Here is a 14,940-nt window from a genome sequence, read left to right as displayed (position 1 = left end):
AGGCACCACACCCCACCTAGAGTTTCTTAACAACACAAAATGTATATACCAGGAAGGATTCTTTATCTGACTATATATTAAACTATATGACAGAAGGCACCATGTTGTGAGAAAAACAAGTCACAGGCTGGGAATAGCTGTTTGTAAACCCTTTAACCAATGAGGTTTAGCCTCCAAAACCTATAAAGAACTCCTGCAGATTTTTTTTTCCTCAGATCTAGAAACCTAACCCTGATTATTAGTGAGATTGAGTTCATGTTTATTAGTTTTTCAGCCTTTTATGAATTGCCTACTCATATGTTTTTCTATGATTTTGATCACCATATCTTTTTCTTAATAATTGTTAAAGCTCTTATACATCGTATGGATTTTTTGGCTGAAATTAGCAGAAACCCTCAACACAAACTGTTGAGGGTTTAAATAATAAGGGAGTCTATTACTTTACAAAGGGCGAGTCTCAGGCGGGGCATCCAGGGTGCTTCCCGCAGTGTTGCTCTGCTGGCCTCCTGGTGGGCTTCATCTCAGGCTTGTGGAAGATGGCGGCAGCAGCTCCAAGCATCACGTCTGGACCCAGTGTCCAGAGGACAAGAGGCTCTGCCTGCCTCTCAACCCTTCTTAGATGGGAGGAGACCTTCCCCAGAAGTCCCCAGCAGACATTCCTGGTTGTCTGGAATCGGGTCACATGCCTCTTCCTAGACCAGTCACTGCCCGTGGGAGGATTATTACTATTAGTTTGGATTAATCTCGGGCGGGGGTAGAATAGCTCTTAGGAGTCAGTCACCATGACCCTCCATAACTTAAGATTAGTAGCCCTTTGTTTATCATATGTAATAAATATCACTTTCCAGGTCCCCATATCTTATAGTATGGTTTCTAAATCGATCTTGAATGCTGTGTTTCTAAGATGCCTGAGTTATAAGAGGTATTAACATAATAGCCTTTTAGAAGAGAACTATAATTAGTGTCCATTGGAAGGAATAAGCAAGTATTCACTTACACATTCAATACCAGTCACTTTCTTTAGTACCACAGAGTTGGAGTCTAAGCCTCCTTCACATTTTCTTGTTCTTTTTTGGGCATTGGTTGTTAAACACAGCATCGTGGCCACCACTGCTTTTTGTAGTCCTGCTTCTAATCTCCACTCCTTTAGCCTGTTTAAGATGAATAGTATAATTTCAAAGCATATAAAAGAATATTGGGAATTTTTGTTTGCATTTCTGATTTGGTTATACTTAGGTCTCATATTTGTTCTTTACTTGAAGAAAAAAAATATTCCTGAAATTAATCAGCTTCTTTAGGAAGCCGACATGTTGTAGGTACCTAAGTGTGGGACCCATGACTAGGTTACGTCAATCCCTGCTGGCTTTAAAATGTGTGTGATCTTCTTCAAGAAGTTTGGCAGTTTTTTTTTTTACTTTTTGGGTAAATGAAACATGATTATATTCTCACTGTAAAAATTTAAATATTATAGAAAATTCTGGTGTAAAAAAGTGGAAGTCTTTCAACAACCCCTAATTCTCAAATTGAATTCCTTTCCCCAAGCAGACCACTCTGTGAGCTGTGAACCTTCCAAAACATTACCTGTGGATTTATGCACACATATATGTGCATATGCCAATTACAGGGTTTTACATACAGTAAATCATCATGTACATACTCAGTAGCTTTTTTCACATAACAGTTTGTTTTGGAGATCTTCCCATGTGAGTTCCCTAATGGTGGACATTTAGGTTGTTTCTAATTATTTGCTCTTACAAACAGTGCTATAATTAACATCCTTGTAAATGTCTCTTTGTGCATATGGGCAAGCATTTCTTTAGGGTAGCTATCTATGGTTTGGCAATTTCTACTGTCTTTAATTGCATTGCCTGGTATCTGGCAGACGATCTTCTGCATGTACAATAACTTTTCATGTCCGTGCTCCATTATAGTGTAAGTTTTAGAAAGATGTTTTAGGCAACAATTAGGAATCTAAGTTTAAGTTCAAATTCTGTATGGATTGCTGTGGTCAGCTGAGGTGACACTTGAATGAATGGATACCTGTACACATGGCTGCATTCACACATGTACAGGCAATTGTGTTGAGTAGCAGGTAAGATTCCCTTCTCTGACGACTTTCATTGTAAGGCACATTATGATTTTTAAAACATTAAAATATGGGAAGGTGCATCGTAGAATTGAGGAGTTATGGTAGTTTATTTTCCCCAAATCAGTAGCCCATTGCTGCATGTCTGTGTTTAAATGGTCCTTTCCCTGTGAGTTGATAGAACTGCTTTACTACCAATTAATTTCCCTGACAGATGGGTGAGTTGCAGGACTAGTGTACTGCATTGATCTGCTTGTCTATTCCTGCCCTAGTTCAGGGGCAGGCTCCCCCATGATCTTCTTTTGGAGAACTTTCTTGCACATTTGTCTTTCTGTCTACTGCTCTTTCTTCCTCCCCACACTGCCCCTTTTACACCGGGTGCTTCATTAGCTTTTCACAATCTGCATGATTTTGCATCGCAATGGGTCGGATGTGAGAACATCTGCAGCAGGCAAGAGCAAATTCTCTTCAGGACTTAACACTGAGCTTGCCATCATCAAGAAGCAAAGTCTTTCTCTCTCCTTCTCTTTCTCTCTCTCATTCCTTGACATCTCCCACATTGCTGCTCAAACATCAGTTATGCCTGAGTCTTGAATGGTGTCAATCTGAGTTGAAAATGTGCCAGCTTTCTTAACATCATCACTAACAGGCTGCTTAATTAACCTGCTGATACCATCAATAATAGATCTTGCTGGTGTGTTGGAGAGGAGACCTGTGCCCCAGGGTTGTGCATGTTCTTGTTCTCTCTGTCTCTGTTTTTTTTTTTTTCTCTCTCTCTCTCTATCATTTGCTTAGGCTCTCAGTGTCCCTGTCACAGGAGCCGGACTTGCCAGGAGTGGGATGGGAAGGATCAGGGACAGTTTGAAAAGGATATGGCAGAATTGAAAGTTTGGGATGAGCTCATGGAAATGAAATCACTGTAACAGGCTGGCATTCCCACTGCCCAAGGGCATGGATGGCTGGTAGCCTCTGCATACGGCAGGTGCTCAATAAAGGCCAACCAATGTACACAGTCAACAGAAGAGATTGCAGGTCATGTGCCATCTGTGTAGGCTGTAAGAATTGCCGGTTTCAAGGGAGGAGCCTGGGGAGGGGGCAGGTACCATCATTCTGAGATGACTTTTAGGGTTTTCTCTGTTTTTTTTCCATTCAGGCAGCTTCAGAATTGTCCTGGAGGGGCTGGATGAGGGGAAGGAGGCTGGGTTTTCACTTCCTTTCATGCTTCATCTTTCATCTCAGTGGTTTTGTGTTTGAACCAAAGCTGTCCTGCTCGCCGCATGTTTAATGTTTGGAGATTACAGGGAGAGAGTGAGATGCCACCGTGAGTCAGGGCTGGTCCACTACCACCTCCAGATCCACACTCTCTCTTCTGTTTGTCTCCCCTATGCATACACACACAAAATGGGGGCTGGAGACATTTCAGCTGTCCCCACTTTCCCCTGACTTGGCATGGGCACAGGTGCAGAGGCTGACATTTTGTGTGAGCTCAGCCAGCACCCAGAAATCCCATGGAGACCCTACATTCTGCCCCTCCTTTTATGCCCGGAGAAGCCAAGGTGGGGTTGGGTGGCAATGGCTCAAGTCCCCAGAGTGAGCTGGTAGCTCCTGACTTTAGCAGGATGCTCGTCTCCTGGACCACATTCCTGTAACTTTGCCTTTCTGGGAGTGGCGGTGGTGGTGGTATGGTGGACAGCGTCATCAGAGGGCTAGGATTGATGCCTTTCAGGGCAGAAAACCCCACTGTCCTCTCAACGGTTTTCTTAGGTCTCCTGGGAACCGAAAGCCTGGCAGCTCCAAGGGCATGGGGGATGCATAGCCTCCCTAAGGCCACTAGAGGGCATGTCACTAACACAGAGGCCAGGTGGCTGCTTCCCAAGGCTACCCTGGGGGACCCTTCTGGGCCCTGAGCCCTGGGCGCCTGGGGCTGAGGCGGGAGAGATATGGAGCCAGAATTGGAACCCAAGCCCGATGGCCCCAAACCCAGGCTCCCATCCCCTCCTGGTCATGCCCTGCTAACCAGATCTCCTTTACCTTGGATTCAGCTTCCTAATTCTGTCTGTCACTGACTGTGGTGAAAACAAGGGTTTCTCAGTGTCAGCAATGTTGACATATTTGGGGGCCAGATGATCCTTTGGTGGGGGGACTGTCCTGTGCCTTGCGAGATGTTTAGCAGCACCTCTGGCCTCTATCCACCAGATGCCTGCAGCAACCCCTGACCCCTAGATCACAATCACTGAAAATGCCCTCAAACATGGCCAAATGCCCCACAGAACCGCCCCTGGCAGAGAGCGGCTGTTTAGGGCAGGTGAGCATGCCTGTTGTGGGGCAGGAGAGCCCGGGACACAGAGGGACTGCCCATGGTTTCCACTGCACTGAGCGTCGGTGGAAGCAGGAGAGATGCTCGAAGATGGTGTGTGTGCTCTAAATACATTTTAGAACTGTATTTGGCCTCCTGCTTTTCTTCTCCAAAGACTGCAGAGTCTCTCGGTCTTCCCCTGTTTATTCCACCTCCCCATTTTAATGAAACAGGCGACTGAGGCCCCAGGGGTCTCAAGCCACACCTCACCCACAGAACCCTGTGCCCCAGCTGTGAGCACCCTGGACCACTCGTTGGCTCAGGCCCCAGGAGCATCTGTGGTCTCCCTCCCACTCCGCCTGCCCACTAGGCCCCGCCACCCTCCAGCTCCCCAAACCCTGGTGGCCCCCCCCACTGGAAGGAGGGGGAAGCAGCAGGTGTTGATGCTAATCAGCGTTCACAGCCCAGAACTGCAGTCGCTCCCAGGCTCACACACTCCCCAAAATTAAACACTCATTATACAAAATTAATTGACATTAATTAGCAAAAATTAAAACTTTAAACACAGCAAGGCGCTTTGGGGGGAGGAGTGAAGCAGGCAGACTCTGCATTTGTCACCCCCCACTCCCCACCTGCCCACCCCTCCCAGGTCCCCCCACTTCCATCCTGCAGCGGGGCTGGGAGAGTTCAGGCGGGGTCAACACCCACACTGCACTGGGCCACGGGGCCTGGCCCAGTCATGTGAGTCCCAGGATGGGGGAGCAGAAAGAGGATCCCTGAGCTAGTTGCCAGCTAATGGGTGGCCCCAGACTTCAACAACCAGTGCTTCACTAAGGAGCCGGGAACCCTCCCCTTAGCCCAGGTTCCCAAGATCTCAGATGGCAGAGGGGCCTAGCCAAAGGCAGGCACTCAGCCATAGGAAGCAAGAATGGAGAAGGTCTGCCCTTAACTCAGCCCGCTGCTCCTGCCCCAACCCTCTTGCCCCCTGAGTATTCAGAGGCAGAGGCACTGTAGCCTTTCTGCTCTGTCCCACTCTGCTGTGTGACCTCAGATAAGTCACTCCTCTTCTCTGAGCCTCAGTCTTCCATCCATATGATGAGGGGGTGGTGCTGGGTGAACACTGAGGTTTCTGCCTCTCTGGCACCTGCTGTCAGGGAGGCAAATTTCTGGGAACTTGATTTGCTCAGAGACAGGAGGGGCTGGATGTTGGACCGACAGTTTAAGAGGATAGGGCAGCGCAAGGGCCCCAGTGATGGTGGAACATCAGGCCTCGGGGTCAGGGGGGATGCGACTTCAGGTCAGAGAGCCCTCCCAGATGGACACCCACTTTGCCTGCCTAGTGGGCTTGCCCTGGAGGAGAGGAAAGCAGCCCCTCGGTAAGTGGCCGCTCTCTGAGGCCAGAACGGGTGTCCTCCCTGATACCTGTTCTTTTCCACTTTCACTTACCAGGTTCCCAAGGGCCCCCAGATCCCTCACCAGGCTGATAGGCAGATGGACAACAGAACCACCCCTTCCCTAACCTTTGCCCATGCATTTGAACACAGAACCCCAAGGCTTGCGTAGGAAGGAGTGTAGTGACCTCCCTCCAGGTGGAATGCCATCTTCCTCCTCATCCTGCTCTCTGCATCCCCTCTCTCTGCAGCCAGTGCCAATATCTGCAATGTGGTCCTGATGCGGTACGGGGAGCTGGAGGAAGGGATTGATGTCCTGGACAGCGATGGCAACCTCGTGGGCTCCTCCAAGATCGCAGCCCGACACGTGGGTCTGGGGGTTCGCAGGGTTGGGGAGGCCAGCAACAGGGGAGGGGAGTGGTTTTCCTTTAGCGTGTGTCTTCCACAGGCTTCTATCCAGGGTACCCTTATTTTGGCATCTTGATGTCTCCTCCTCACCCCACCCCCACCTCCAATCTGCATGAGTCTGGGCCTCTGGCCTCCCGCATGTTCCCCTGGACATGGTCTCACTGCTGTGAAAAGTTCCTGTCTCTTATCGCAGCCCCTCAGGACCCAGCTTCTTGCTTGTCTCACCCAGAGGAGGTGTTAATTGGTGAGGGCAGAGGAGACTCCCTCAGAGCTCTCTTCCCCTTGCCTCTGCCCGGGCCCTACCTCCCGGGCCTTCACATCCTCTTGGGTAAGCCGAGGAAGCCTGGGAGGCCAGTGGTTTGTGGTTCTGGGTTAATAGGCACTTCTGCAGGTGAGAGCTCACCAGGGAGTGAGTGCCGTGAGGTCAAGGGATTTGAGGCTTGCAGAGGTTTGGAGAATATTTTGTTACAAGACCTTCTTTCGCCACTGGTTTCATAGGCTCAGCCACTCTAGCAATTGCAGTTTAAAAAATGAAAACACAGGCTGGTCACAGTAGCTCACGCCTGTAATTCTAGCACTTTGGGAGGCCAAAGTGGGTGGATCGCCTGAGTTCAGGAGTTCGAGACCAGCCTGGCCAACATGGCAAAACCCCGTCTCTACTAAAAATGCAAAAATTAGCCAGGCGTGGTGGCGGGCACCTAAAATCCCAGCTACTCAGGAGGCATAGGCAGGAGAATTGCTTGAACCCGGGGGGTAGAAGTTGCAGTGAGCCGAGATCACATCACTGCACTCCAGCCTGGGTGAAACAGCGAAACTCCGTCTCAAAAAAAAAAAACGCAGTCCATGAGTCCATGTGTACATCTCCCTCTGCTTTCCCAGCCTTTGTCCTGATGGTGGTTAGTGGCTCGTCTTGCTGCCCCCTGGTCTCTGGCCTCTGTGCTGGGCATGGGGTAGGATGGGTGCTAGGGGGGAGCCGTGAAGTAGTGGAGCATGCATCCCTGCTCCAGCCACTGTCCTTATCAGCTCCCACCAGGGCCCCCAAGCCTTACCCCAGTCATGAGGTCTTCTCAATCAGACTTTAGTCTGGGAAGAGCTCTCTCCAAGTCAGTGCCCCTCCAAGGTTTTTAGGGCAAGGGGCTGGGGGTGTCATGCCGACATTGCATCCTCTGCTCCCTGCACTGGCACTGGACCCTCCTGTCATTCCCATACCTGTTCCAGAGACTGGAGGGGCCTCTCCCAGGCCTTCCTGAGGCTGACCATGAAGAGCCCAGGTTCCTGGGAGAAATGTTCAGCCCTGAGCCCATCATGAGAGGGGATTTAGTCTCAGTTTCCTACCTGTCCCCAACCTCCCATTCCAGCCCTGTTCTTTTCCCCAGCCCCCCTGAGGGAGGACAGCCATGCCATGATAACTCCTGTCAGTGTCACACAGCAAGGAAACCCAAGTGGCCCCTGGCTTCCTTCAGCCTGGCTTGCTTAGGTCTTTGCTGTCCGGGGAAGGACTCCAGGCATCTGTGGGCTGTGAGCTGCTCCTGGAGCCTCCTCTGAGGGCTGAAGCTCGTGGGGCTAAAGGAACTTACCACAGTGGCTGTCGGAGCTCAGAATTGCCACTGAGCTGTGTTCTGGCAAGGACACTCCCACCCCAGGAATCCCTTGGGAGGCCCTGGAGCAAGGCCCCAAGCAGACCCCGAGGGAAACCCTGCAGACACCCAGCTGAAGCATGCTTCCCTTACAGAACCAACTTCTTGTCACTGAGAAAGACTCATCCAGAGCCAAGAGACACAAGATCTTGCAAATCTTTGTCTTTAAGAGATGTTAAAAAAAAAAAAAAAAAGTAGGCCGGGCACGGTGTCTCACACCTGTAATCCCAGCATTTTGGAGGCTGAGGGGGGTGGATCACCTGACGTCAGGAGTTTGAGACCAGCCTGGCCAACATGGCAAAACCCCATCTCTACTAAAAAATGCAAAAATTAGCTGGGTGTGGTGGGGCATGCCTGTAATCCCAGCTACTCGAGAGGCTGAGGCTGGAGAATTGCTTGAACCCAGGAGGTGGAGGTTGCAGTGAGCTGAGATCATGCCACTGCACTCCAGCCTGGGCAACAGAGCAAGACCTCCATCTAAAAAACAAACAAACAAAAAAAACACCAACAACAAAAAAAAGTAAATTCCAGAAGCTCGGTCCTCCTTTGGCTCCATGAGCCCCACTGGCTCAACAGGCCCTAGCTGACTATGCTGGCCTTGCTTTTAGAGCTGCTCCCCAGCCCCTGTGCACACTGAGTATGGGAGGTTGTGCCCACCACCCCCGAGGTAGTCAGCCACCTCCCTGAGCACTGCCCCTTCCTGGGGCTGCCTGAGTGTTCCCCACGTGTGGCAGGTGATGGGAATCTGCTCTTCTCAAATGTGTGTGGTAAGAAGAACACTGGAAGCCAGGCACGGTGGTTCACACCTGTAATCCCAGTACTTTGGGATGCTGAGGCGGGCGGATCACCTGAGGTCAGGAGTTCGAGACCAGCCTGGCCAACATGGCGAAACCCCATCCCATCCCTACTAAAAATACAAAAATTAGCCAGGTATGGTGGTGCGCACCTGTAATCCCAGCTACTCGGGAGGCTGAGACAGGAGAATCATTTGAACCTGGGAGGCAGAGGTTGAAGTGAGCTGAGATCACACCACTGCACTCCAGCCTGGGGGACAGAGCAAGACTCTGTCTCAAAAAAAAGAAAGAAAGAAAGAGAGAGAGAGGAAAGAAAGAAAGAGAGAGGAAAGAAAAAAGGAAGGAAAGAAAGAGGGAGGGAGGGAAGGAGGAAGGAAGGAAGGAAGGAAAAAGGAGACCAGTGGCTTTTTTTGTTGTTTGGAATGCAGCTTCCTGAGCAATCCCATGAATAAGGCCATTCAGACACACATGCGTTGTGGTGGCACACACCTAGGGCTCTGGGTGGTGTGCTGTCCTGTCACCAGCTGTCAGGCCCCTCTCACACAGCTTCTGCCTGCCCCTCAGGCCCTGCTGGAGACGGCGCTGACGCGAGTGGTCCTGCCCATGCCCATCCTGGTGCTACCCCCGATCGTCATGTCCATGCTGGAGAAGTGAGTTGGGGCAGCCAGGATGGAGAGGCCACCATGGGGGAGGAGGGGGAGAGGGAGGGGGAACCGGCTGGCCCAGGCAAGAGATGAGGGGGTGGCAGGAAGCCCACCCCAGTTTGTGTAGAGGGTGGAAGGTGTCTTGCTCCATCTTGGACTTTCCAGGTAGTGCCACAGAATCACTCTGTGAGAATTCTTGGACTTTTACTATGCAGGACCCTGGGCTAGGTGCCACGAGGGATACCAGGATAACAGTGCTGGCCCTCCCCTGAGGAGCTGGCAGTTGTGTGTGTGTGTGTGTGTGTGTGTGTGTGTGTGTGTGTGTGTGTGTTTTCATGTGTGCTCACATGCTCTCAGTGAATAGTATGTACAGGACCATTTGTGAAGGCAGAGTCTGAGGATTCAGGTAGGAAGACTAGATTTGGGTAGGCATCTGCTGTGGGGCAAATCACCACCTTACTGAGCCTCAGTTTCTCTGCTCGTAAAATACAAATAGTAATAGCCTCCTGCCTCCCTCAGAGGGATGTTCTAAGCACTCATATCTGTCATGACTGTGAAGAAATGAGGGAGCATAGTAACAGTAGTGGAGTGATTCTATTAATGAATGAGTGCGAAACTGAAGGGGCGGACTGAAACTCCGCTGGAAGGAAAGGCTGCGCAGAGAGGGCGGGCCCTGGGAGAAGGCAGGGGGCAGGGGAGGGTCCCCTAGGTGGAGGGGGCCTGGAGTTACAGACCCCTGGCTTGTCAGTTGACAGTGAGGAGACCCTACCCTATGGGGACACCTCAAGACAGCAGCTGGAATTGGGGGCGTGTGGTATAAGGACAGGGATGGGGTTACTCCATCTGGGGTTCTGGGGCAAAGGATTCTTCCCTGTTTGGGGACTTTCTTATTCCCGCAGTATGAATTATAATAACAAGCGACATTTATTAAGCACTTGTGTATCCCAGTCCTCTCTCAGTCAGGCCTCTGCCCGAATGCCACCCCCTCAAAGAGGCCCTCCCTGACCACCCCATCAGAATTCACCATTTCTCATTATTTCCTCTCCCTTGAAGTCCTTTATTTTTCTTACGGCCCTTATCCATATCTGAGATTGTTCCTCTAGTTGTGTACTTTCTGTCTGCTCTACTAGAATGTCATCTCCATGAGGCACGTCCATCCTTTTGTTCACTGCCCTGCCCAGCATCTAGCACAGTTCCTGCCACACAATAGATGCTCAGTAAGTGTTTGTTGAAAGGATGAATGAGTGAGTGAATGCATTCTCTCATTTCACCTTCAGGACAGCATAATAAGGTAAGTATAATATCCTCATTCTACAGCTGAGGAGAGGAAGGCAAAGACAGGCTATGTCATCCACTTACGGTCATGTACTAGGAAATAGCAGAGCCAGCGGTGGCTCAGGAGTGCGGCTGCAAAGCTTAGTCTCTTCAAGCTACACTGGCTGCCTCTTGCATATTCAGGTCATAACCCTCAATCAGCCTGTGTTTGAGTCCTGCCCTGTGTGGAAATGGGAAGAGTAGATTTGGGGTCTGATCTCAGGAAGCCTGTGTGTTTATAAGGGTGGTGGGCAAGACCCGTACCCAGGTCAGCTGCAGGTGAGAGCAGGCAGTGTGTGAACTTGGCCAAGGTGACCTTGAGAAGAGGAAGCACTGTGGGCCTGGCAGCAAGAAGGGCTGGTACCCAGAGAGGGGCTGCGGCCGACCCAGAGAGCAGGATAGAATTTTTGTGGAAAGGCGGGCTTTCTGGGCAGGGTGCAGGCCTGTGGTATAGACACTGAGGTGTCCAGCCTGGTCAAAGTGAAGTGCGCTCATGGGTCCAGCTGATGAGGGGTCCTGTGTGCCCAGCTGAGGTGAGCCCTCTCTCACCCTAGAAGAGGGCGGAGGCTCTGGGGGTACCTGAGCATGGGCATGGCATGGTGAGCACTGGGATTAAGAAAATGCGTATGGTATGGAAGTTTGCAACAGACAAAAATAAACAGGGCAGGCTCTTTTGTGCCCCTGACTCTCGTATACGTAGCCCCTTCGTGAACTGAGGTTGTCCCTGAATACCAGTGACTGCAAGTACACACAGGGAGCAAGCGGGGCAGGTGAGGAAGGTGGTTCTTCTGTCCTTGAGATTGCTGAGTCTTGAACCTTGGAATTCTGAAGCTGGTTCAGTGAGCAGTGCTTACTCTGTTACTTGTACCACAAGTCCAGTGAGGTAGAACACTCGCACAAGTCAAGCGAAGCAACTTTATTACTCACAGATAGGCCTCGGGGACAATGGACGCCTACCACTCAAGGCAAGCTGGTGCCCCATGGCTCGAGAAAGCTGCCCAGGGAGGATGGAGTCTCGTCCACCCACGTACCACATCACACTGCAACTGAGGGAGCCTGGGAGCGCTCCACCCTGGGGTTTCCACCCTGGGGGACATCAGCTTACTGTGCTAAAGTGTTGCAGGACATCCTGTTCCAGAAGAGGTAGGAACATGAGCCCAGGCTGTCTCAGACAGGCCCTCCTTATCTCAAGATGTTGCATTCCCAACACATCCTACAGCTATCCTGAGAACTACAAGAAGGCGGGGGGCGGGGTGTGAAGCTGGGTCAGCCATGCTCATCCAGGGACCTGTCCTGCAAGAATTTGCTGGGGAAAAACATGCTCTGTGATGCCTTCCCAGTTGGCAGAGATGTTTGCAGAAAGTGGAATGATGGTTAGTGTCCCATTAACTTGGGGGCTTAAACTTGGCTTTGGGAGTCATGGTGAAACAGGAAAAGTTTCCTTGTCCCCCTCAAAGGGAGTGCGATGGGGATGTGGCTTGCTTCTTCCGGGCTCTGCCGCTCAAACCTCTAGGGGAGCATACAGATGGGCAGGCTGTGGGGCTCCGACCCCACGGCAGTGTCTAGGGGTGAATGTTTATAGCTGATGCCCCAGTGGGTGTATGTTACAGGGTACTTTTTTAGTTTAGCCATCCATAGGTGGCTTGTATTAGTCAGCTCAGTTAGACCCCTGCCTTATCGCGAGGACAGAGGGCTTTCTGTATCCCGGGGTTCTTGCCTTGGTGTACTGGAAGAATCGGATCACACGTGGGCTTGGAGAATGAGTGCAAGGTTTCATTGAGTGGAAGTAGCTCTCAGCAGATAGGGGAGCCAGAAGGGAGATTGGTTTTCCTCTGGAGTCGGGCTGCTTGGTGGCCCAGGCTCTCCTCCGACTGCCCCAGCCAAACTCCGCATCATTCTGCCCGTGGGTGGCCTGCCGGCGTCTGTCAATGTGCCCTTCCGCCAGCGTGCTCCCCTCAACGTCCTCTTGCTGTCCAGCCGCTTGTGTGTTCCTCCACTGATGTGCTCCTCTGGATGTCCAGCTGCCTGTGTGTTTGCCTGCTAGGGTCTCAGGGATTTTTAGGTACAGGATCAGGGGGTGTGGCAGGCCAGGGTGGTCTTGGGAAATGCAACATTTGGGCAGGAAAACAAAAATGCCTGTCCTCACTTAGGTCCGTGGGCACAGGCCTGGGGGTGGAGCCCTAGCCAGAGACCGTGCCCTTCCCTTCCCCCCTTCCGTATCCATGGCAAGTGGGTTGATTATTCTGGGACTGAACCCGTCCAGCCTGGGACCTGCCTAGTGTCTGGGTGCCACATACTCTCACATCTCAGGCTCCAAAGGAGCCCCTCTGATAAGGTGATGAGAGGTCAGAGTTTGGTGCTCCTGGCAGCCTCATGTTTCACTGGTCCTTCCCTGAAGTTCTTTGGAGGGTCCCTGGGGAGAAGAAAAGTTCAGCCCGGGTTCCCCCAGGAAGATGAAGATGAATAAGACCCAGTTTGTGCCTTGAAGGCTTGCTAATCTCACATGTACTCTGGAAGTGCAGGACTGTGTGGTAGGGAGGCAGGGCAGTGTAGCAGAGTGAGCTGAGGCTCTGGTAGGAAAACAAAATCTAGGTTCCTGCTCCACCTCTTTCTGCCAGTCTGATGTGGCTGTGGAGCCTCCCTCAGCCTCAGTTTCCCACCTGGAAAATGAGGACACTGCCCCTTCATCACCTTGTTTGTTGGGGCTTTGCATTTTGCACCATCCAGCAGCTCTTTTGCTCTTTGCAGGGTCCGTGCCACGCACCCTATAGCCTTTGGGTGCAGGGGCACTAGTGCAGGGCTTCCGCTGAGGAGGCTGACAAGGAAGGCAGCCCCCACCCTTGGGGAGCCCCTGTTGGGTGAGGGAGTCAGGACAGCCAAGGAAAAAAGACAAAAGAACACTTACAAATTAACGGAGTGCAAACTAAAACTGCGCTCCAAGTGCTGAAGGAATGCACAGCAATGAGGGGGACAAGCTGTGGTGTGGCGGCCATGGCTGGGACCTGCCTTGCTTCGCCTCTGGCCTCGGTTGATACTTTCAGAGCCAAGGTCCCTGGGCTTCCTACTGGGAAGAGAAAGGTGGGAGCTCAGCATGCTCAGTTGGCCTTGACTCTGAGACGGAAAGGAAAAGAATCTCAAGTCAGAAGCAGAGGAGCGTCCATCCCCAGTCCAGCGCACTGGGCTGCCTCTGGGGGGTGCAGTCCACTGGGTGCCATCCTTCCCTCTCCACCACCCTCCAGCTCCCCTGAATGCTCCAGGGGTTCACACTTGACACCCTCCCTGCAGCACCAACCATGCTGAGGAGGAAGCTAGGCCCAGGGGTGGGATCACAGGTTCCTGTGCTGGATCAGGAGGGCTCTAGCTGGCTCAGCCCCAGCCCAGCCTCCCTGGCACTGGAATGAAGGGCCAGCAGGGGCACCAGGCTGGGTCTGAGTTGGCTCCGGGCCCAGGCCACAGCCCTGAGTCCGCTCCCCCAGCTTCCTTTACTCCCTGGGCTCCAGGTCTTTCCTTTCTCCCAGGCATTCGCACATCTCTCCATCTACATATTTTAACTCCCCCAGCTGCCTTTCCCTTCCCTCCTTGCCATTTTCCTCCCCCCTCCCTTCCCCCTGTCCTACTGTGTTCGCTCTCAGGCCTGCTCTGGGCTGGGGCTTCCGAGGCTCCTGTTTCAGCCTCAGGCCTGACTCCTTCCTGAGCTGGGAGCCCAGGCCTCAGACTTCTTGGACCTCTTTCCCACTGAGTACTTCAGCCAGCCACCCTGAGAGAGGAGCCTTGGTCACAGCCCCACAGAAAGGGGGTCTGTCTAGTGTCCCCACCAGCAGGTCCCAAGGACTGAGCCCATGGCCTGCTCTTCACTTGCCGGGGGTAGCGTCTCTCTTTCTTTTTCTCACCCTTCACTGCTCTCAGGGCTGTGGGCAGGGACCCTCGGGGCTGTGCTTCCAGGGACTCCACACCCTCTAGTCACTGCCACTGGAACAGGAGGGCAGCCCCGTCCTTCCACAGCCTCCTCCAAGCAGGGCCTCCAGACTCTGTATGAAGCTTGGAGAATGAGCCTTGTATCCCCCGCTCCTCATCTTGCTTGAGAAGTTCATCTCAGGGCCCTCTCAGCCTTACTCCCAGCCCCTCCACGACCCCTAAGGAAGTCCAGGCGGGCATGGGCTAGCATGGAGTAGAGAGAGAGGGTGGGGGTGCTGGATGGGGATTGGAGGATCAGAGGGGTTTGGGCTTGATTTAGGCACCTTGGTCCTACTGCTCAATCCTGTGGAAACTCCCCTTTCCAATAGCTTAATTCAGGCCGGATTTAGCAGCTGGACAAACCTTGCGGTCTGGGCCTGTGGGAAGGACTGGAAGACAGGTGGGCTACCAGGATC

At 52.2% G+C, this 14,940-nt stretch overlaps 1 protein-coding gene across 21 annotated transcripts in view, besides 2 other annotated features; it reads left to right on the top strand.

The window, feature by feature from the left end:
* Nucleotides 1-14,940, top strand: part of SFXN5 (sideroflexin 5) — a 129,677-nt gene that overhangs the window by 94,003 nt on the left and 20,734 nt on the right. For 14 of the 21 annotated variants that reach the window (NM_001371739.1, NM_001371738.1, NM_001330402.2 and 11 more), the window contains 2 exons: nucleotides 6,025-6,140; nucleotides 9,177-9,262. The exons of 4 other annotated variants lie outside the window; for them this stretch is intronic. In NM_001371739.1, coding sequence (NP_001358668.1) covers nucleotides 6,025-6,140; nucleotides 9,177-9,262 — 202 coding nt within the window. Of the gene's footprint in view, nucleotides 1-6,024; nucleotides 6,141-9,176; nucleotides 9,263-10,386; nucleotides 10,474-14,940 lie in introns of all 21 variants that reach the window. 3 more of the 21 variants (NR_138476.2, NM_001371741.1, NM_001371740.1) reach the window with 3 other exon arrangements.
* Nucleotides 12,069-12,760: an enhancer, noted in NCBI's record as "H3K4me1 hESC enhancer chr2:73192079-73192770 (GRCh37/hg19 assembly coordinates)". NCBI's record gives its function as "activates a minimal SCP1, AML or CMV promoter by ChIP-STARR-seq in primed H9 embryonic stem cells {active_cell/tissue: H9 hESC(primed)}" and the evidence as "EXISTENCE:reporter gene assay evidence [ECO:0000049][PMID:30033119]".
* Nucleotides 12,761-13,454: an enhancer, noted in NCBI's record as "H3K27ac-H3K4me1 hESC enhancer chr2:73191385-73192078 (GRCh37/hg19 assembly coordinates)". NCBI's record gives its function as "activates a minimal SCP1, AML or CMV promoter by ChIP-STARR-seq in primed H9 embryonic stem cells {active_cell/tissue: H9 hESC(primed)}" and the evidence as "EXISTENCE:reporter gene assay evidence [ECO:0000049][PMID:30033119]".

Source organism: Homo sapiens, chromosome 2, assembly GCF_000001405.40.
Source record: "Homo sapiens chromosome 2, GRCh38.p14 Primary Assembly".
In the NCBI taxonomy this organism is placed as follows: Eukaryota; Metazoa; Chordata; class Mammalia; order Primates; family Hominidae; genus Homo; species Homo sapiens.
The sequence above is the reverse complement of the archived record's forward strand: the minus strand, read 5'-3'. Positions and strand labels throughout refer to the sequence as shown.